The sequence below is a fragment of the Homo sapiens genome, chromosome 11 (assembly GCF_000001405.40).
Source record: "Homo sapiens chromosome 11, GRCh38.p14 Primary Assembly".
Classification (NCBI taxonomy): Eukaryota; Metazoa; Chordata; class Mammalia; order Primates; family Hominidae; genus Homo; species Homo sapiens.
The window spans coordinates 121599782-121623046 of NC_000011.10; the positions used below are offsets into that span (position 1 = coordinate 121599782).

Genomic DNA, 23265 nt, shown 5'->3' on the forward strand with positions numbered 1-23265 from the left:
AGTTCTTCGGTGTTTAGCAGGATGCGGCAGCCTTTGATAAACCTTAAAAGATTCTTATTTCTCTTTCTGTCGCCTTATGCCTGTTTGCTTTCCTGCATTTTGGCTGTTTTGTTTTTCACTTTGCTTTATCATAAGTGGTCTTTTTCAGGCTGCTTCTGCTTTACTCTTTCTATTTGCTGTGGTAATATTTTCTGATGCTTTTTAAAGTGGCCCTATCTTCTTTACAAAGTCATTAATGACCAGATGAAAACTTGGAAGGCATGCCTGTCATACTTGCAAGTAATACAGAGTTACCCAGATAGCTTATTTTCTGGCAAAACACTCAGGATTTACAAAGGGAAGCTAAACTTTGGTGGTGGGTTTTAATGTGCTATTCATTATTCTCAAGCAAATCATGTATTCGTTTCACTTAATTCTCAAAATAACTGCGATTTTGGTCTTATCTCCTTTGTGGAGATAGGAGAATTAAGGTCCCAAGAGGATCACCTAGCCAGTACCAGATTGGGTTATTTATTTAGGTTGAAAGCCATGTTGAAAGTTCTCATCAGGGAAGAATACACCAAAACTAACACAGATGAACTGAGTAGGGATTAGTGTACAGTTCTACACTTACATTAAAGGAATGAACAAAGTAGACTCCTAGAGTGTTAAACCAACAGGGACAGGTTGATCCCACACTCACCAAAATGACAGTAGGAACATCTGAGGCGAATAAGCAACCACATAATAAGATGAACATTGGAGATAATTAAGAAAGAGAAAAGAAATGGGACCTCCCTCCTGGGTGATATTAATTCATTAATTGGCATTCTTTAAATCAGTGTTTTCAGCCTGTTTCCAATCTGGCTTATTCACAGGGATGTTGCCTGGTAAAGGGTCTTAAAATCAAGATGTGTTATATCCACGGTTTTTTTCCAACATTAATTTGATAACCTTATCTAAAAATGAAATGAGATTAGTGTGGTGCGATTCTTTTTAGAGAACCTGTCCCCTGAAGGCGACTAAGTTCTATTCTAAGTGCCTGTTAATCATCGGTTAATTATCAGTTTAAGAATTTTCAGAGTTAATGACAACTTTATTCCCAGATTCTATTGTTTTTTTGTTTTAATTTAAGGCTCTTTTTTTTTATTATACTTTAAGTTTTAGGGTACATGTGCACATTGTGCACGTTAGTTACATATGTATACATGTGCCATGCTAGTGTGCTGCACCCACTAACTCGTCATCTAACATTAGGTATATCTCCCAGTGCTATCCCTCCCCCCTCCCCCCACCCCACAACAGTCCCCAGAGTGTGATATTCCCCTTCCTGTGTCCATGTGATCTCATTGTTCAGTTCCCACCTATGAGTGAGAATATGTGGTGTTTGGTTTTTTGTTCTTGCGATAGTTTACTGAGAATGATGATTTCCAATTTCATCCATGTCCCTACAAAGGACATGAACTCATCATTTTTTATGGCTGCATAGTATTCCATGGTGTATATGTGCCACATTTTCTTAATCCAGTCTATCATTGTTGGACATTTGGGTTGGTTCCAAGTCTTTGCTATTGTGAATAATGCCGCAATAAACATACGTGTGCATGTGTCTTTATAGCAGCATGATTTATAGTCCTTTGGGTATATACCCAGTAATGGGATGGCTGGGTCAAATGGTATTTCCAGTTCCAGATCCCTGAGGAATCGCCACACTGACTTCCACAATGGTTGAACTAGTTTACAGTCCCACCAACAGTGTAAAAGTGTTCCTATTTCTCCACCTCCTCTCCAGCACCTGTTGTTTCCTGACTTTTTAATGATTGTTTTTTTTTTTTTTTTTAAGAAACAGGGTCTGGTTATGTTACCCAGGCTGGTCTCAGACTCCTGGACTCAAGCAATCCAGCCTCAGCCTCCCAAGTAGCTGGGATTACAGGTGCACACTACCGCACCCAGCTTACTTCCAGAGTCTAAAGCCCATGCTTTTTTGCTCTTAAAATTTTGAGACATACTTTATAAAGAAACCTCCAACGTCCTCAGCTCTACTGCTTAGCTGTTGTTTGATTATATTTGACCACATTGTTACCCAGTAGAATACTTCTGTGATGGGGGTTTTGGTATTTTTCAAAATAATCCCCTCTGGGCATAGTCTCTCCCTGGCAATCCTATATAAAATGGCATAACCTGATCAGATTAATGTACTTGTTTGCAGTTTCTCTCAATAGAAGATAACTCCCTGAGGACAGGTCCTTCATCTGTTTTACATATCCCCATATTTTTAACATCTGGAGCAGTGCCCGAGTCATGGTAGGACCTCCATGAATGTTCACAGAATTCCATCTTGGGCTTCTGAGACTATTACAGTAGTGGTTCTCAAACCTTTCTCTAATTCTTGAATACACGTTTATTTGTCATGAGCTTCCCCCCACCATGGCAAACCAATTTCAGCTCAGTATATAATAGAATTCTGAAATGCAATGATCTTCCTGGAGAATGGGGGATTATAGTTTGTGAAAAGCCTCATAAGTGGTTTTGATAGTTCCCTTCTATTGACAATTTTTTATCAGGATTGTTTTTGAATAAGTAGTGAACTGAAGTCTGTACCTCCATCCTAGAGACTCGTGCAAAGAAGTCTTAATTCTTCTTTCTCATGAAAACTCATCAGTGGAGAACACTTGTCAGAGTGGTCTGCATGTCTTCTCACCACCTCCCCCATCCTTGTATCTTTTCACCTCTAGGAAAATATCCCTGGATCCTTTATCCATTCCTCTTGACCATCCTGGTTGCTCTCATGGGAACATTATCCAGTTTCTCTACCTATATCTCAAAGTGTGGTTGTTTATGTTAGGAGGAAGGAGAAGAGGGAGGGGGTCGAGGTCAAGAGGTGACCCATGACCACATGCCTGGGTCTGAAGTGGGGCGTATGAAGCTTCCTTGCTCAGGTCACAATGCTCATATCACCTTTAACATAACTTTGTTACTTGTGTGTACACTCTCTTTATTTCCTCAGGGCTTAGTTTCAGGAAGGGACTATTATCATCCTTGCTTTAAAATTAAACTATAAACAAAATTCCTTCCATAGTTAGCTTGGCCTACGTGCAGAGATAGGCAGAGGCCGTTAACCTACAAGATGTCACCATGGGCAGGGGGCAGGGTGCGGGGAGCAGAATGGAGCCACTCATGTTCAGCCTCCTTTTGTCTGTTATAATTTCCCCATTTTCAAAGCCAGTGATGTTGCATGTCTCTCACCTGTCTTCTGTATTCTCTCTGTCTCTCACCACAACCAGAAAAGGGTCTCTGCTTTTAAGGACCCATGTCATTAGACAGAGCCCACCTGGATAATCCAGGCTGAACTCTCCTACCTATGGGTCCTTAATCTAATCACACCTGCAAAGTTGCTTTGTTACATAAGGTAACATATTACAGGTTCCAGGGATTAGGATGTGGACGTCTTTGACTTGGAGGAGCAAGATTGATTTTAGACCCTCATCACTGGTGGGATTGGATTTCTGATGTAGCCCTTCCTTGTCCAGGACTGGGCAGGCAGGTGTGAATCTGTATAAGGAAGGCCTCAAGTTACTGTTCCTGGGCTCAACCAGCTACATAGCAGATTTGTACCACCCAGGTACACAGCCTGCATAGCAGATTTGCTGTCTACAGCCATTCTCACCTTTTCTCTTTTCAGGAGCATTTGCAATTATACGGTCATTGCTTTCTTTTTGGAGCCTCCCGTGCAGTTTTAATCTACTTTCAGAACTGGAGAGCACATCACATTTTGGTCAATAGCCTAGACATACAGTTGCATAACCCTTAACTTACCAGTGCTCATTATTTGCATTATTTCATTTTCTGTTCAAGTACTTTGAAAAGCCAAACAACTTTAAATACTACATAAAGTATGCATGCCTCTTAATATTGTTGGGATTCATCTCATTGTTATTTCTGTTACTCAAACCAGAAATCAGCTCCTCTTTCTAGATTGCAAACTAATAATAGTAGCAGAATAATTAATAGTACTATAGAGTAATAGCTACAGTTTGTTGATGCCGGCCAGGAGCCAGGCAGTGTTCCAGGTGTGTGATCTCATTAGATCCTTGCAGACATGATAGTGATGGAATTGTTACTTCCATTTTTTATAGGGCAACTGAACTCAGGTGATATTAAGCTGTTTGCTCAAGCTCATGCAGATCTAGGATTTAAACTCTAGTTTGTTTGACTCCAAAGTGCTCACTCTTCCCGAATGCAGATTCCAGTTGTTAATGTTAGATGAGATGGCACCTTAGTGCCGGTATAGATTCCACCACTGGTCATTCCAGAGGTGTGTTTTGAAGCAGAAGCCAATTAGTACTTTGCCTAAATGGGAATAAACTTGGGCCCAGCCTTTAGTACCATACGGCCCCTCCCCGTGGACTTAAGAAGCCTCTCTGTGTTTCAGCCACACACAGCACCTTGACTTGCATGAGCAGGGAGTTCCAGTGCGAGGACGGGGAGGCCTGCATTGTGCTCTCGGAGCGCTGCGACGGCTTCCTGGACTGCTCGGACGAGAGCGATGAAAAGGCCTGCAGTGGTGAGTGCCGGTCCACGGGCTGGGCTGGGCTGGGCTGGGCTGGGAGGCTCGCTTACCCCAGGGCCCCTCCTGTGTAGACCTTGAGCTAGGACCCTTTTGAACTGTTGCTCAATCTAAGGATAAAACAGATTTGTGCCTAGTTTTGGAGCCCCAAGTGAGGTGAGCCTTGGCCAGACTCTGATACAACATGCAGCTGTCTCCTCCCTGTTAGTGAAATGCTAGTCTTGGATTTTTTTTTTTTTATGGACTTCCCACCTCATGCCCATACACCATGGCTCTCACAGTCTCAATCTGCTGGTGGGATTAACTCAGTTCTTATCTCTGGAGTGTCTAGTAATGGACCCTATGACATGGTCCTTGGACTTGTAGCATTCTCTATGGAGAAATAGGCTTAAATTGTCATAGGCAGGAGGAAGATGAAATTCGAGGGAAAATATCACGACCGGAAAAGTAGGAGACCCTAGGAGGGATTGTATAGGGAGGTTTCAACTACATTTTCTGAGATTTCTTTTCAGATAATGATTATGGCCTCCTGATAATCTAGATCATGGTAGTTCTGTTTAAAAGCAGGAGTCCTTTGAAATCTAAGGATTTGTAAGATGTAACTTTTTTTTTTTTGTATTTTTAGTAGAGACGGGGTTTAGCCACATTGCCCAGGCCAGTCTCGAACTCCTGAGCTCAGGCAATTTGCCCGCCTCGGCCTCCCAAAGTGCTAGGATTACAGGCGTGAGCCACCACGCCCAGCCAAGATGTAACTTTGTTTGTCTTTTTCTCCTTTATCTCTCTAGATGAGTTGACTGTGTACAAAGTACAGAATCTTCAGTGGACAGCTGACTTCTCTGGGGATGTGACTTTGACCTGGATGAGGCCCAAAAAAATGCCCTCTGCTTCTTGTGTATATAATGTCTACTACAGGTAGGTCCCATCTTTGTCATGGGAGATGAAAATGATGTCTTCATTGCCCCAGGATGTTCTGTAAACTCTCTAGTGGCATGCACCATGCTATTAACGGAGTCAGACATCTCAGCCCCCCATGCTGCTCCAGTGTGACAATATCTTTATTTTTTTTTGGGCCAGGGTGGTTGGAGAGAGCATATGGAAGACTCTGGAGACCCACAGCAATAAGACAAACACTGTATTAAAAGTCTTGAAACCAGATACCACGTATCAGGTTAAAGTACAGGTTCAGTGTCTCAGCAAGGCACACAACACCAATGACTTTGTGACCCTGAGGACCCCAGAGGGATGTAAGTGTTTCAGTTAATTTTTATGGCATGGGTAAGACCTCAGGTCGGGGTTTGTGAGGGTCTTTCTGAGTATTCTCAGGAATGTGGGAACATATGTGTGCCTCACATGTACAGAAGTATGGTGGCTAAGCTTTATAGTCTTGCCAGAGTTGTCAAACATCTGTTCTTCTTACTGCATCAGAGACTGTTCTTGTACCTTAAGTTAATTTAAGATTCTCTCCACCATTGCCCTCTTGCATTTTTTGTCTAGTTTCTACCTCTACGTTCCTCCTCTAGATATTTCCTAGTACTTGGTACTTAGGAGGAGGTCATCGTCATTAAAATATGAGGCATATCAGCAATTTTGTGGCTAAGTTTTTTTCTTTTTGGAGACAAGGTCTCACTCTGACACCCACACTGGAGTGCAGTGGAGGCGCAATCACTGCTCACCACCTCAGTCTTCCCAGGCTCAGGTGGTCCTCCCGCCTCAGCCTCTCGCATAGCTGAGACTATAGGTGTGTGCCACCATGCTCAGCTAGCTTTTTGTATTTTTGTACAGAAAGGGTTTTGCCGTGTTACCTAGGCTGGTCTTGAGCTACTGAGCTCAAGCAATCCACCTACTTCAGCCTCCCAAAATGTTGGGATTACAGGTGTGAGCCACTGCACCTGGCTTTGTGGCTAAGTTTTTAAGAAATTTACCAAATTTATGTGTCTAAGAGAGTTCCTCGCCTCCTCCCTACTTCAAAGTAGTTGACATGAGCAACTGTCTGCTTGAATGTCATCTTTTTTCATTGCCTAAAGTATCCTGAATATGCTAGCGCTAAACTCATTAAGGAGCCTGCTTTGAAGATGATCAAATTCATTTGGATATAGAAATTCTGTGATGTTACAAAATTAGTCTTATTTTTTGGTAGTCATGCCCACAGTACAGTTTTTGTTGTACAAGAAGCAGAGGCAGCAGGTGCTGTCATTGACAATTAAGATCTCAGCATGGAAGTCTCAGGGTCAGTGGTGACTCAGCCTGCCCAAGTGATTCTATCCTGCAGCCCTTATGAGCCACAAATTTACCACACACTCAACTGAGCCATGATGTGATGTGTGGACGGCACACCTTGCTTTTTGGAAGAAGAGGAAAAGTGTCTTTTCAATGTGACGACCAAGCTAGCAGCCTTTCTAGTGGATAGTCTCAATGCCGGCTGTGGAGTCGTTCTTGTCCTTGTTCTAAGCCCAGGAAAATTCCTCTGGTTGGCTGCTATGCAGATGGGTTTTAACCTTGAGTTGACTCTTTTTCTAGTGCCAGATGCCCCTCGAAATCTCCAGCTGTCACTCCCCAGGGAAGCAGAAGGTGTGATTGTAGGCCACTGGGCTCCTCCCATCCACACCCATGGCCTCATCCGTGAGTACATTGTAAGTACCTTCCATGAGTTGGCTGTATGTGTGTTGGGGGTGCTAGGAGATTTCTGGGTATTCTGTATGACGAGGGGGTTGATTTGGTTTAGCTTTGTAGGTGATGACCCATCCGTCAGAACATTTTGCTCCTCACCATCTTTTCTCTCCTCCAGCCTCCTTGCAAGATATTAGGATGCCCTGGACCTTTGGTTCCCTTTACTCACATTTTTTTTCTTCTCCCTTTAGGTAGAATACAGCAGGAGTGGTTCCAAGATGTGGGCCTCCCAGAGGGCTGCTAGTAACTTTACAGAAATCAAGAACTTATTGGTCAACACTCTATACACCGTCAGAGTGAGTGTCGTCATCCATTCCAGCCATCCATGCAGTCTTAGAACTGAGCGAAATTGCTGCTGTTTTGTGAGAACTCTCTACTCACCTTTGTGAGATGCATATTAGTAATCTGCAAAATACCCAACTTCTTGCCCTGGGACGGGGGAGCTCAGAGTTTCTTTCAGTCTCTTAAATGGACACCACAAAGAGCTTGACATCAGAGTTTCTGTAGATAACCGGGCGTTTATGGGAATGCCGCTTTCCCTGCTTTTAACTCCGGTATTCTGCTAGCTTTCCAGCTCCTATACTTTTGCAGTCAGCTCTTTCCTGCTTATCTTTAGCTGCAGGATGATGCAGAGCTATGATAAGTAGTCTTTCTAAACTGATTTTATGAGGTTCTTATGAAATATATTTTTAGTATTTTTAGCAGAAAGAGATAGATTTTGTGAACAACATGTTTGCTGAGACCATTAAGTGTGCACATTCATGACTCTCACACTGATAATTTTGTCAGTACCCTTTTTGTATATGTGTGTATTTATGAACACACCCCCCCATACACCTGCCCTTTAGAAGAACCTTGATATTTGTGGATCAATAGAAATTTTCTGATCTCAGGACTGTCATAATGCCCTTTACCCAAGCTCCTTCCCTTGGCTTTTTTGCCCTCTTATTTCAGATGCTGGGGCCTCTGAATATTCTGGATCACTCTGTATAAAATTTTTCCAGCCTCACTGCCAAAATCTCACCCCTTTAGCTCATTCAGTATTCTTACTGTATGGTGTATGGTGTATTGCCTTTATTTCATATTAATTCACCCTCTGATTTGAAAAGGTGGCTGCGGTGACTAGTCGTGGAATAGGAAACTGGAGCGATTCTAAATCCATTACCACCATAAAAGGAAAAGGTAAATGATCCCAGCATTTGCAGATTTAGAGAAAATATTATACAAACCCTTTCAAATGACTTTCAGTATGACCGGAAAATGGAGAAACGTAGTTTAGAAAAACATCACACAACTTTCTTCTCCCCAACACACGCACATTTTTGGGTGTCTCTGTAGTGCTTTAGATAGAGTCTTTTTGGGGTGACTGAGTGTCTTTTTCCTCCTAGTATTGAGCATTTCTTCTAATGCAGACATACAAAGGGATTTCCAAAGGCCATCATGCGCAGCCCTTTGTGAGTAGTCAAAATATCTAAAATAGAAGGAGTCCTTCCTTCTCACCAAAGCTGAAGATGATTTTGTGCATGTTCACTTACGGGGTTTTAAAGAAAGCACCATGCTGACTCTTGTTATTCTCCCAGTGGCACTGGCAAACTGTGTGTAGGTGGTTTTTTATCTTGTACTAGAGCTGATATTAGTAATAACTGATGGCTTGCCAAGGGCAGGACACTCTAGAGTGTTCACTGCTTTGCGTACATCAGCTCATCTAATTGAACAGTCAGAACAACTACAAGAAAGGATAAGGAACTGGAATGAGGTTATGTCACTTGTCCCAGGCCACACAATCAGTAAGTGACAGAGCTGGCCCTGGAACCTGATCTGCCTGACTCCAAAGCCTGTGCTCTTAACCACTGTGCTCCACGCTTCTCTCTGGGCTGAGACACATGCGGCCTACTGGACCGCCCTGCTTGCCGGGGGTGGCGGGCTCAGCATCTTGCACGAGTGCCTCATGAGGGCAGAGATCTGGTCTGTTTTTCTCTACTCTATCACGGGCATCTAGTAGAGACTAAGGAAATAATTGATGATTGAGTGAATCGAAGCAGTTAAATGAAGGGTTCTGGCATACTTTGGGAGATGGACTACAACTCATTTTCCAGAGTGGTTTTCCTGACCTTAGCCTTGACACTGGGGACTTGCATTTCTGGACTTCCAGGTATTAAAACCAGATGGACACTGTGGCATGCAATAGGACTGGAAGATTTTACTTTAACCTAAGCCTGTGAGGAATAGGCTCTGGGTCATGGAGAGTCACTATCTAGTCCCCTCTAAAATCTGGAGCCTTTGAGATCAGGGCCCAAGGCGGCCAAACGTAGTGCCACCAGATGGTCTTTGGAGCTGAATGCTTGCAGGTATTAGAGAAAGCCTGCTGAATTCACACTCTCCTAGAATTTTTATTGTTGTATCTCTTCTCTCTACAAAGTCTGTTTCAAAACACTGACCACACATACCAAGAAGGGATGTTGGAAGAGCAACCAAATACATGTACCTTGAATTCCGAAGGCACAAGTCACAACTGCATTTGAAAATCTCAGTGGATGGTTGGTTCTCTTTAACTTCTTTTCTGTGATTTTGATGAATCTCAGCTGCTTGCATATATTTGGGCTAGGATTTGTACAGAAGGCAGCTGTGTGCCACATCCAAAAAGTGTTTGTTGTAAAATATCTGTGACATAGTATCATAATAACGTTTTAAGATAAAGGACAAAGACAGCAGAGGCATCAGCCAGACGCGCCAGGTTAATTGGTGAATGTAGTGGATTAGTAATGACAATGAGAAAAGCCACCATTCCCTGAGCACTTCTTATACACTAAGCACCATGCTATTGTTGCTCGTGAATGGATCCCTTATTAATCCTTATGAATCCTATGAGATAAGTATCCTTATCCTCATTGTGTAGCTGAGGAAATGGGTTTGGAGTGGATTGTGACTTGTCCCTGGTTGCCATGATTATAATTCAAGTCAGCTTTACCATATGCAGCACTCGCACTGTTTTGCTCTGTGTTGGCCGCCTGAAGCTTCCAATATCCTTTCTTCTTCCGGTTATTGCATTTTCCTGAAGCCTAGTTTTATTACATGATTGATCATCTGGACAGACCTCTTCAGACTTTGACACATCTCTTTTGCCACCAAATCTTATCTGCTCCTTTGAGTCTCTCTTGCCCAGTCTATAGAAGGGGCATATGTGTGGAGAGTCTAATATGCAAGTTGTTGTTTAAATAATATTTTCTGATAATATTGATCCATTGAGCTCTTTTAGATCATGCTGGGCCAAGCACTGTCAGCCATCTGGTGGGAAGACCTTCCAGATGACAAGCATGGCGCTCATTGGTTGAACTGAGAGGGGTCTTTTCCTTGGCCACTTCTCCTTGCCCCCTCGACTCTTAGCTTGAGCTCCAGTCTTTTTGAGAGCACCAGTGGTTTCTAGTTGTTTAGTTGGCCATATGTGACGCTATATTGGAAAGGAAGAGAAAGAGAGTATCAGTTGAGTGCTAGGCATCACACATACATTATTTTAGTTAACCTTCCCAGCTCTGTGAAATGCAGATAACATCTCTAGGCTCCAGGAAGATCAGTAACTTGCCTAGGTTACACAGATGCCAGAACAGGAATTCGAACTCAAGTTTGCCAGCTTCCAGAGGCCACATTCTTTCCATTTTGCCACACGCACGTTTACCATTTACGATTTACTCCATTGTCAGCCTTCCGAAAGGACTTGAGATTGGTGGGACTTTGTTAGTGCCAATCAAGATGCCACTCGCAGTGAATGATCCCTGTTCCTTTAAGAACCAGGCTGAAGCTGGGCTGTTTTGGGACCTTTACAAAATGGAACTTTTCTGCCTGACCTAATTGCCAGGATAGCCGACTGAGCCAAGATAGTTTTGTGTTCACCAAGCAACTGTGGACCAACCTTAGCTTCAGGAAAACAGTGGTAAAAAAAGATCGATGAGGAACACTGCCAAAGAAATACCCTTTCTTCCCCGACTGAAAGATGGCTTTGTCCGTTGAGTTGAAAACTATTAAGTCCTGCCTTCCTCACTTTTCATCACGTGGCTTCTGTTTTTGAATTCCTTTTTGTTTTCAGTGATCCCACCACCAGATATCCACATTGACAGCTATGGTGAAAATTATCTAAGCTTCACCCTGACCATGGAGAGTGATATCAAGGTAATGTGGGAATTTCAAGCCAGCAGCTGGATGGGGCTTTATTTTGTATGGGAACTGAAAGGACATAGCACAGTAAGACTGGAAAAAAACAAAAAACAAAAAACAAAAAAAACGAACGGCTAGATCTAGTGAAGCTAAAATACCAGGACTAGGGTGGTTCCTTCCCCCATGAAGAACAACTTGAGTCTTCACATGTAATTATTCTGCCTCAGCCTGGTGCCTTTTTATCCTTAACCATATAATTAAATGGTTCACAGCTACAGTGCAAATAAAGAGTTGGTGTTAACAGAATATGTATGCCCTGTAATTTTCAGCTTTATTGGATTTCCTGGTGCTAAGCGCTAATGCTGAGGCGCTCACAGTGGAAGAACAACCTTCTTGTGGGAGAGTTGGATACCTTGGAAACATATTCACTTTCCATCCACCTAAGATCTTCCTCTTCCAGCACCGCCATCCCCTCTACTGGCCCTCTGCATAGCCGACTTCATCATTGTTACCTGTGCCCATGTGGTTCCTCAAGCTGAGATCCGCTTTCCATAGTGTTCCTTCTTATCTGTCCCTCCTCACAGCCTCTCCATTGATGAATTTGTGTTGGGACAAGTTGGGACAAGCAACCTTCAGAGTCTTTCTGCCATTTACTTAACTGCCATTTAGTGTCATGACCTTGGCTTCAGAATGGGTTGATATAAGAAATGGCCTCGGCCGGGCATGGTGGCTCACGCCTGTAATCCCAGCACTTTGGGAGGCTGAGATGGGTGGATCACCTGAGGTCGGGAGTTCGAGACCAGCCTGGCCAACATGGTGAAACCCCGTCTCTACTAAAAATACAAAAATTAGCCAGGTGTGGTGGTGCATGCCTGTAATCCCAGCTACTTGGAGGCTGGGGCAGGAGAATCGCTTGAACCTGGGACGCAGAGGCTACAGTGAGTCAAGATCATGCCACTGCAGTCCAGCCTGGGCAACAGAGTGAGACTCTGTCTCAAAAAAAAGAAAAAAAGAAAAGAAAGAAAAAAGAAGTGGGCTTATATGCTTCTTGTCTTGTAGTCTTTGATCTTGAAAATATTTTTGTTCGTTGTCCCATATTTAACGATCTTCAGATCAAATCTTTTTATGAGCTCAGGACTTGGAAAAGGTAGTCTTTCCTGATGGGTGGATGTATTTTCTGTAGTTAGACAATGAGATCTAACCAGCCTGTTTTGTATGGATTGTCTTCTTGGCCTTGACTGCAAGGATTTATCCTTAATTTCCATGGCCTAATTATCTTTCCAGTGTTTCCTCTTTCTACCTTTATTAATTGGTTCTCGTCCTTTTATTCTTCATTCACTTTTTTGTTTCATTGAATCTATAAATTAAATATGGTCTCGTTTGTTTTTAGAAGTAGGTGGAGTACAACTAAATATTAGCTAATGGTAGCACAAGTAGAACCTGTTTAAAATTTTTAAAAAACAACCTGTTCACTGTAAGAATGAGATACCCAAGGAAAGAACAGGAAAGAGGTGTATTTTTAATCCTGCCTTTTGTATTTAGTGTGCCCCATGACTAGCTGTTCATCTAACATGCTTCTTGGTTCTCGGCAGGTGAATGGCTATGTGGTGAACCTTTTCTGGGCATTTGACACCCACAAGCAAGAGAGGAGAACTTTGAACTTCCGAGGAAGCATATTGTCACACAAAGGTAACACTTTGGTGCTGGTCAGTGTGTGTGCAGGAAGGGGTAAGGCTGGACCAATGCTTTCCCGCTGTAGAGCTTGACTGGGGGTGCCAGGGAAGGGGAGGTATTCTCTGGAAGCTGTTCTGTGTTGACAGGTTCTTGTGCATTGAGGATCCTATAAGTGTGCTGCTGATTCTAGGCAGAGGGATTCACTCAGTGGCCCCTCGAGCCCTCCTCCAACCTCATGACCCTTAGTGGAAGTTGGGGGCCATAAGGAGGAAAATTGGACAGAGGCAAGACTAATTCTCTGCAGATGAGTTTTGATTTCCAAAAGAAAGAGTTCTTAGATATAGACAGTTACCTGTCTGTCCTTTCTAGTCTGGTTCACTCTCCCGTTGCTAATGAGAGACAGCAGAAGGCCTTATGCATAACTGGTGTTCAGTAAATACATGTTGACTGGAGAAATGGACAACAAACTAAGGGAGGAGTGGTCCAGTCCCTGTTACGTATGTACCAGCAGCAAGTCTCAGCTAAAATTCCTCTATCTAAGCACGTGCTAAAGGATGGATTTTAATTTATTTCTAAGTGGCGAAAGCTGCCTGTAACTGTTGAGAATGACTTGGGAGCTTCTTCCTGTCTCCTCCTTCTAGGCTGTGAAGCACTTTCAGTCATGTTTTTATTGAGTCCTTGTCATAGCCTTATAAAGTAGAGACTACAAATGTTCTATTGTTACTTTTTTTTTTTAACTGAAAGTCTACAAGGTGCCCGAGGAGGCTGTTATTTTGACTTTTGCACATTGAGCACCTACCATGTACAGGCATTTACACAGGCATTCTACGCATATTATTTACATAACCCCAAGTATAATTCCGTGAGATATGCCCGCTTTACAGAGGCAAAACTGAAGTTGAAAGAATAAGTCATACGCTCAGACGGTGGCAGAGCCAGGATTGGAACCCACATCTTTCTAACTCCACAGCCTATGATCTCATTGCCTTAGTGTTGCCCCAGTAGAAACTGGCAGAGTCAGGAGCAGAAGCCTTAACTAGCTGTTGTTTGAAATCTATTAGGGCTAGTGCGATGCTAGGCATTATGCCAAGCACTTCCTAAGCATTTTCTTTTTTTCTCCCTGCCAGCCAGCAGCTGCTGTAAGTGCTGTTATTTTTTTCTCCATCTTACAAACAAGGAAATAGAGAGTTTAAATACTTTACCCAAGGTTATACAACCACAAAGTATAGAGTCAGGCCTTAAACCCCAGTCCTTCTGATTCCAAAGGCTATCTTGTTAGCGTAACCTCCCCCTTCTCACTTTTCTTTTTCTTAGTTTTAATAGCATTTCCTCTGATCAGAAAGGGGATACATATTTGTTTCAGAAAATTGAGAGAACAAAAAGAGTGTAATGAAAATTAAAATTGCCTATAATTTCACTTTTACATTTCAGATATCTTCTAATATATTTTTCCATGGATTGATCTCTTTATATCTTTTTTCTAAAATCAGAATAATGCCATAGGTAGTATTGTATCCTGCCCTTTTCACTTCACATAAAATTGTGAGAATTTTCCAGTGTCATCAAATATTTTTGAAACAACCTTTAGTGCCTGCACAGTAGTTGATGGAATGCACATTATTTAATTATTATCCTGTTACTAGACAATCAAATTACATTCAGTTTTTTCCTGCTGTAACACTGTGATGGGGATCCTTGTTAAACACACTTTTGAGTCTTTCTCTGACTTCATGGGATAACTGGATTGAAGGGTATGATTTCCAAGGTTCTTGTTATACAAGGCCAAATGGCTTCCAGGAGCGTTGTACCAACTCCTATCCGCGGATGGGCAGCTTTAAAGAAATTACCCAGTGCTTGTGCAGTGTGTTACGTACCGTCATCATCAGTACATAAACGTTGAATGAATTTGTCATCTAATGACAGTCCTACAGCACATGGGACTCATTTAAGTCAAGAGATTACTATTTTTTTTTAAAAAAGTGCATGTACCAAGACACGTTCTTGACTAACACCCCCAACTTCCTCCTGGAATCTCCTTTTCCTGTTTTCACAGTTGGCAATCTGACAGCTCATACATCCTATGAGATTTCTGCCTGGGCCAAGACTGACTTGGGGGATAGCCCTCTGGCATTTGAGCATGTTATGACCAGAGGGGTTCGCCCACCTGCACCTAGCCTCAAGGCCAAAGCCATCAACCAGACTGCAGTGGAATGTACCTGGACCGGCCCCCGGAATGTGGTGAGTCAGCCAGAATGACCATCACAAAGTGAGTGTGGACTGTCCCCTAATGCTACGCCACCACACAACTCCAGGGCTTTTCTCTCTTTTGCAAATGTTCCGGTGCCCCTGCTGCTCTTGGATATAGGCCTTTCTTTTTCCTTTGTTTTCATACGTGCATTATGATTCACTATGATCAGATCTGTGCTCCTTTTTGAGTCTACTGTTTTACTTTCCACTCCTCCCCAGTGTGTCCCCTTTGCTTTTAGATCAACCGTCCCAAGGCTCTTGGCACATTCGTCCCCCTCTTGCCTCTGTACTTGGCTTATGCCCTTTCTCCTCCTTGGTGTCCTTCCCTCCTCTTGCTATGCAAGAAAATCCTCCCTTCTATAGTTGATCTCTCTCCCTATGAACTCCTAATATATTTATAGTTGGTTCCATATAGCATGATATTTCATTGAATACAGCTTTACCCTATTTGATAATTTTTGTCTGTTACTCTTACCTTCCTAACTAGTTTGTAAGTTCCTTGAAGGGAAGGATTGTTTTCTGGATTTTCTCAATGGAAAAGCATACAGAAGTAAATTTATAATAAGGAATTAGTAAATCCTTAGTGATGAGCGGAGGAACTAGCCTAGGTCTGGTCTTCTGAGGATATCTTCAGCGTGCATTTGTCACAGGGCTGAGTCATAGGGAAATAACCAAAGTTTGCAAGTAGCTGTCTGTAAAATCAGTGAAGAAGAAGGAAGAAGTAAGATTTACTGAGCAGCCAGTAAGTGCCAGGAACAATATAAAATCCGATAAACCCCTGTTCCCCCTTATTCCTTTCATTGGTTCTGTGGGTAAATATTCCCATTTTGCCAGCAAGGAAACTAAGGCTCAGTGAGGCGAAGTAACTTGCCAGAGTTAAAGCTCTCACAAGCAGTAGACTGAGTTTCAGCTCAGGTCTGGCTAATTTAACAGCCTCTGCTCTTTTGTGTGTCCCAGCACCTGACGCTGAGGCAGGGACAGTGATGAGAAGCCCTGACCTATCCCCGGAGCTCTCTTTTACCTGGAAGTTGAGTCTACTCATAAAGAACCCTTTCTTTCCATTTATATACCTGGCAGCACATGACCGCCTCATCACCCCCAACTATCTCTCCAGAGTAGGGCAATTGCACAGAACACTGAAGCCTGACTTGATTTAGGGTCTCCAATTGTGCATGAAGTTGGAGGAGGCTTCCTGCACCTCATCTCAGCTCATGCACTGGTCACACTAAAGGTGGCTTTCAGAGGTGAGAGCGCAAATGAGATCACCTGTAGGAAGCTCTCTGCTTCTGCCCCTCTTTAGTTCATTGAGGACCCTGGCAGCTCTCATGATTTTCCTGTCTACTGTGAGAAGTGCCATTGTCACTGTGCATGTGGGGAACCTCTCATCCCTTGGCTCCCGTGGCTCTGTGGACCCCTTTCCTCTCCAGAGACACCCCATCCCTGGCGGTCACCAGCCTTGTCCTCGGTGATGTCATCCTCCCTCTGTACTCTAAGCCCCGACTTGGCCTACTCCCATCTCATGCTTTGCAGCTCCACCTGCATTTGCTTTGGGACCCCTTTGAGTCCCTCAGCGCTTCTCTTTCCTACATCCTCCCAGGCGATCACCCCCTTCGGGGCTTCCCTTCCTGTTTCTCTGTCTGTGTTCTCCCATCTGTCTGTCCTTTCTCATCTGTCAACAAAAAGAGTCAAACTCTGTAAAATATATGAAAAGATTTATTCTGAGCCAAATAGGAGTGACCATGGCCCGTGACACAGCCCTCAGGAGGTCCTGAGAACATGTGCCCAAGGTGGCCGGGATGCAGCTTGGTTTTATACATTTTAGGGAGGCATGAGACATCCATCAAATACATTTAGGAAATACACTGGTTTGGTCCAGAAAGGCAGGACAACTCAAAGTGGGCATGGGGAAGCAGGGGTTTCCAGGCTATAGGGAAATTTAAACATTTTCTGGTTGTCAATTGGTTGAGTTTGTCTAAAGACCTGAGATTGACGGAAAGGAGATGTTCAGGTTAAGATAAAAGATTGTGGAGACCAAGGTTCTTTTGACGTCTTTTAGTGGCTGCCTTTAGGGGAAATAGATGACAGATGTTTCCTATCCAGATCTTTAAAAGGTGCAAGACTTTTAGCTAATGTCTTTAGGATTGGGAGGGCCTGGAAGAAAAAGATCTAGCTATGTTAATAGAGATTCTTTACAGATGCGAAGGTTCCCCCACAAAGGACAGCTTTTCAGGGCCATTTCAAGATATGACAAAGAAACATGTTTTAGGGTAAAATATTTTGATTTTCTTCCTTGTCTCATAATGTTATGCCAGAGTCAACTTGGAAAGTAAGTCACGATATATAGGATTAAATAAAACCCATCTGATGAGAATTTATGGTTTGTAGGACATGACTCCCCAGACCCCTTAGATAGGGATTTGGGCAAGATTTAAAAAATCAGAGCTTAGTCCTCACAGCTGCTGAGCAGTGCTGGAGAAAGTCACCCTGTTGCCTGGGACTTGGAAATCCCTTTGTGGATCCCCGCTCAGTTCCTGCTCATCCCATGGATCCTGCAGCTCCTACAGTCCTCGTCAAGCCCATGTCTTACATGTGCACATAACTCTTGGAGAAAATGCTCTTTGATTGTGCCTTACAAAGAAAGCTTCCTCAGCTCCCACCCTCCAGTTATAAACTCCCTCGGCTTCCACTTTCTGCTGTAAACTTCATCCCATTCCCACTTCCCTGCTTGAAACTCCCTCAGTTTCCAACGTTTACCAGTTAGGACTAAGCAGGGATGCATAGAGCAGAGGAAGTGACAGTAACAGTGGCTTCGAACAGTTTATTTCCTCTTGTAATTAAAACAAGTTTAGAGTTGAGCAGTGCAGGGCTTCTGTCGTGGCAGCACGATTTGATTGGGCACCTGAGCCCTGTCATCTCCAGCCTGTGGCATGTGTCTTCAAGCTCACCTCATGGTACAAGAGGCCTCCTGGGCCTGCAGTCATGATCTGTATTCCAGGCGACCAGAGGGCAGGAAGAAGGGCTCCTCCCTCTGTTGTAATGAGCCCTCCTAAAGCTTTTCCTGCGACACTTCTGCATCTCAATGGCTGGAAGCTCTTTGTCTAGCCTCTTCTAGCTTAGGGAGGTTCGCAGTTTAGACTTTTTCCAGGCAGCAATTCTCAATCAGAACCAGAGTTCTGAGGAAGAAAGGGAGGATGGGTACCTGTTGGACAGCCAGCCGTGTCTGCTCTCCTTCCCTCCCTCCACATACTTCCTGGGGTGTTCGCATCCACTGTGCAAGCTCCCATGGCTTTCCTTCCCACTCAGCACATCCCCTTGGAGCCCACGTCTGTGCTGCCAATGGTAGAATGACACCCCCTCTTTAATAACCCCCCGTTCCCTGGCTCATCATGTGGGTTTCTGGTGTAGCATCTAACACTCTATGTTTGCCACTTGTTATTTATAATTATGTATGTTTTTCTTCTCTGCCCGCCTCTCCTCCAGAAGGAGCGCTTTGAGGACAGAGACCACATCATATTTATTTTTGTAGCTCTACATACAGTGCCTGGCCCAAGTGCCTTCTCTGTAAATGCTGTAAATGTAATAAATGTTGAATGAAGACTTCTCTGTGAGCTCTTTTGAAGCAGTTCCAGGGTCTTAAATTGGGGATTTCAAGGAAATGAGATCATCGGCCCATGAGCTGATGTCCTCTTCCATTCTCTGCTTTTACCAGGTTTATGGTATTTTCTATGCCACGTCCTTTCTTGACCTCTATCGCAACCCGAAGAGCTTGACTACTTCACTCCACAACAAGACGGTCATTGTCAGTAAGGATGAGCAGTATTTGTTTCTGGTAAGTTTCCCATACCGTTTCAGTTTTTTAAGGGATGTCTTAAGTCCTGGGCTCTGGTCTCAACCCAGGACCTGGGGAGCTTGCATACCTGGACTCCAGGATTGATGTGTGTGACGAGAGGCAACTTCCTCTTCTTCATAAGCATCATCAGGTTCTTGCTTGAAATACAGAATGAACGGCCACTTTCACCAACTGCAGCTCCGTTATGGAGGACTGATAACTTGGCAGATGATCACAAGTATAGATAAATCAAAAATTTTTATCAGGTTCCACTTCTAGGAATTTAGCCTACATACTTTTATGTGTGTGCCAAGATATATGGAGAAAGATACATGGTACGTTATTATTCTTATGATAGCAAAAGATGTGAAGCAACTTAAATGTCTATGAAGAGAGGACTGGTTAAACATATCATGGTTTATTCATGCAATGGAATGCAGGACAGCCGTTCATAAGAAGTATGACAACTCTAAATGTACTGATATGGAAAAATCTCTACGCTATATTATTATATAAAAGAAGCCAAGAGCATAATATGTGTGCCATTTTCTCAGTTGTATAAAAAATATTTGAGGAAGATAGGCTTCATATACACGTGCATATATGTGTAAGGATACACGTACATACATATCCTTCCTTATATATGCATAGGGGATTTCTGGAAGGAAGCACAAAAACTCTTACCAGTGGTACCTCTTGGAAAATGATTTGGGGTAGGTGGGAAATTATTTTATATTTTATGGTTTTTTGTACTAACTGAATTTTAATTGTTGTCATTATTTTGTTGAAAAAATACTTTAATAAAGATTGCATAAGGCCATGATGTATTTTTTTTCCTACGTGTGTGCTTGGGCTTCAGGTCCGTGTAGTGGTACCCTACCAGGGGCCATCCTCTGACTACGTTGTAGTGAAGATGATCCCGGACAGCAGGCTTCCACCCCGTCACCTGCATGTGGTTCATACGGGCAAAACCTCCGTGGTCATCAAGTGGGAATCACCGTATGACTCTCCTGACCAGGACTTGGTGAGTGGGTTGGGCTTCCAGGCCTCTTTGTTTATTCCTGGCCTGGTTAGGGTGGGGTGGGATGGAAGGGGATCCTCTAATGGGGCAAGAAACACAGGCCTGGTTTCTGGCGCTCAGCAGGAGGTCTCTCTCCCATTTCAGTCTGACCAAAGATGGGGTCCGTACAGGGACCTCTTCTTAGTTGGCACTTCTCCATTATTCCTAGCTACCATTTTGGTTTGTCCCTCTTTCTCCTCCGCTGCTGATATTTCCTTCCCTGACCCTCTCACACAGGGATTAGCAAACAAAGGCCTGCAGGCCAAACACAGCCCATTGCCTATTTTTTTAAAATAAAGTTTTATTGGAACCAAGTCATGCCTATTTGTTTATATATTATATCTGACCACTTTCATGCAATGATCAGCAGAGTTGTTGTGGTGGAGACTATCTGGCCCTCAACACCTACAGTATTACTGTGTGTGGACCCTTACAAAAAGTTTCTGACCCCTCTTTAAAAGGAGCATTGATCCTAAACAAAACAAAAAAACTGCCATTTTTTCCTTGCTCTGGGTTGCTCTTCCCTCTCTCCTCTCTCCACTCCCCTTCATCCAGCGGTGGTTGGTTTAAAATGCTTGGTTGCTAATACTCCTCTCAACTCTCCACTTCCTTGTCATGATTGAATTTCCTGTGCTTACTATATGCCCTGTTATTTTCCCCTTGCCCCCCTATACCCAGAAGCAGCCTGGGAGAAAGTAAGTAGAGCCTTGCCCTTTAGAGCCAGGATTGAACACTTTGGTTCATTCTCTCTCCACCAACAACATCCATGAACTATTGCAGTGGTGGAGATGTGGAAGTTGAGTACTGAGTTTGGATGTGCTTGCTTGTTCCAACCTACCTGCTGATGTCACGATAAATGTGGCCCTCCCTAGAGGGTTAAAAAAATTTTAGTTGATAACTCTATGTGCAATTCTATGAGTGAATAGTTATTTTAAGATTGGATCTGGTCACTCCAAAGGCCTTCCAAAGAATGGAGTCAGATTTCGGGACTCAAACTCTTGTTGCTGTGGGTCCCAGCTATTAATATACTACATTGTCCACCATTGAACTACAAAGAGTGAAAAATGTCAACTTTCTGATTATCATTCACTTGTTCTTTTTTGGTCCTAGTTGTATGCAGTTGCAGTCAAAGATCTCATAAGAAAGACTGACAGGAGCTACAAAGTAAAATCCCGTAACAGCACTGTGGAATACACCCTTAACAAGTTGGAGCCTGGCGGGAAATACCACATCATTGTCCAACTGGGGAACATGAGCAAAGATTCCAGCATAAAAATTACCACAGGTAAGCAGGAGAGAGGTTAGAGGTCTTCTCACACAGCCTGCCCTCAGTGCTGTGCCGCTAGACCTCCAGAGACAGACTTTTCATTAGGCGTTTGTTTCACAGGGAGTGCAAACGCTGCCCTTCAATATTCCTACAGGGGCAGAGTAGTGCAGAGGCTCCAGGGTCTGAGCCGTGGCGTGGTGGCCAGGGCACAGTGGGCTGGGGAGTGGCTATCGTTTTCTTTATTTTCTAAGTCTTTTTAACTCCCCTCGCTGGTTTTGATATTACTAAAGGAAAAGAGGAGGGATGCCCAAGAGAGGAAATAAAACTGAATAGTTGCCACTAAGACCAAGTGCTGTATCTGAGAATCTGGATGACAGGTTCTCAGTGGTCCATTGTGGCAATCTGACATGTTGAAATGGAGGGAGACCCACAGCTGGGCAGTAGATCAAAGGGCAGTCAGGCTCAAGTTCAGAGAGCTGGTAGTAAGCTCCGTTGCTCAGACAGCAGCAGGTATTATTGGGAGTTTTGATATTGGGTAATGGAGGCCCAGCCCCATTTATGCTGGTGGCGTGCAGTGGGCCTGGGCCATGTGCCATTGTCACTCCAGTGTCCTGTCTTCAGATGGAACTCCTTATCCCATCCCATTCCTTCCTCACCACCCTTCTACCCAACCCCATTTGTTTTTGTACACACTTGGTTACAAGGGCTATTAAGTACTGTCCAAATTTCTTGGCTAAAGATGTTATAACAACAATAAAAGAGATGCCAATAAAGAATATCTACCATGTGCTAGGTTCTGTACTCAGCAATCTATGTGTTTTATTTTTTCTGTAACCCAGCCCTCCAAGGCTAGCATTATTTAATCTCTCTTTGATAGACAAGAAAATAGAGTTTCAAATGTATATCCACTAACCGCATCCCATCTCATCTTTAATTTTCAGTTTCATTATCAGCACCTGATGCCTTAAAAATCATAACAGAAAATGATCATGTTCTTCTGTTTTGGAAAAGCCTGGCTTTAAAGGAAAAGCATTTTAATGAAAGCAGGGTAAGTTCCTCCCTCATTCTCAATGACTTTGGAAATTTAATTGAAATGCTGTTTCAGAGATGAGCTTGTTGACAGCATGCTGGCATAGATAGTGTAAAAAAAAAGAAAGAAAAAGAATAGGACATGGACATGAACTTGAGAATTAAAGGACCATTTTCAGTGGGATTGCTAATTAGCGAAATGCTTATACTGCCCGTTAAAGATGAGAATCTCTGCACTAAGCACTTTTCAATCCTGACTTGTCTTCCCCTGAAGAAAGACAAATGGGCTGGAGGCCATGCTGTGCTTCCCGCAGAAGCTGCAGCTGGGCTGGGGCTCAGGGTGTTAAACCAGGAGCCTATTCCACACTCGCTGAGGGTGGGACTGTGGCTTCAGTACCAGGAGTTGAGCTGCACTCTCAGCCTGGCATCTCAGCACTCTCTTCCCAGATAAATTACAGGGAGCAGGAGGCACTTGAAGATACTGTGCTAACTTATGAAGAACACCTTGATTTTGTTTGGTTTTGCTATTGGTAGGCCAATATGGTATTCACAGCAAAAGACAGGGGAAGAGGAGTGAGACCTGGGAGTAGATTTACCACCCAAGGGTGGACAGATTCTTGAGTAAAGCTGGGTTGGCCCCAGAGACAGCAAAGCCTTTGCTAAATAGGAATGTGATGAATCAACTATGGCTACCTGGAGATGCAGCATAGGCAAAGAGCCATGGGTTCTAAATAGTCACCGTGCAATACCAAAGCAAAGTGAAATTAAAATTGGAAAATTCTCACCACACACTCTGT

At 43.4% G+C, this 23265-nt stretch overlaps 1 protein-coding gene across 1 annotated transcript in view, besides 1 other annotated feature; it reads left to right on the forward strand.

The window, feature by feature from the left end:
- Window positions 1–23265, forward strand: part of SORL1 (sortilin related receptor 1) — a 181450-nt gene that overhangs the window by 147468 nt on the left and 10717 nt on the right. The window contains exons 33-45 of the mRNA NM_003105.6: window positions 4412–4543; window positions 5332–5458; window positions 5621–5790; window positions 7064–7176; window positions 7405–7509; window positions 8323–8395; window positions 11295–11377; window positions 12955–13051; window positions 15090–15274; window positions 18993–19112; window positions 19972–20136; window positions 21283–21457; window positions 22381–22487. Of these exons, the coding sequence (NP_003096.2) occupies window positions 4412–4543; window positions 5332–5458; window positions 5621–5790; window positions 7064–7176; window positions 7405–7509; window positions 8323–8395; window positions 11295–11377; window positions 12955–13051; window positions 15090–15274; window positions 18993–19112; window positions 19972–20136; window positions 21283–21457; window positions 22381–22487 (1652 nt within the window). The remainder of the gene's footprint in view (window positions 1–4411; window positions 4544–5331; window positions 5459–5620; window positions 5791–7063; window positions 7177–7404; window positions 7510–8322; window positions 8396–11294; window positions 11378–12954; window positions 13052–15089; window positions 15275–18992; window positions 19113–19971; window positions 20137–21282; window positions 21458–22380; window positions 22488–23265) is intronic.
- Window positions 14739–15033: a silencer, noted in NCBI's record as "tiled region #6864; K562 Repressive non-DNase unmatched - State 24:Quies". NCBI's record gives its function as "represses a minimal TATA promoter and a strong SV40 promoter by Sharpr-MPRA in K562 cells {active_cell/tissue: K562}" and the evidence as "EXISTENCE:reporter gene assay evidence [ECO:0000049][PMID:27701403]".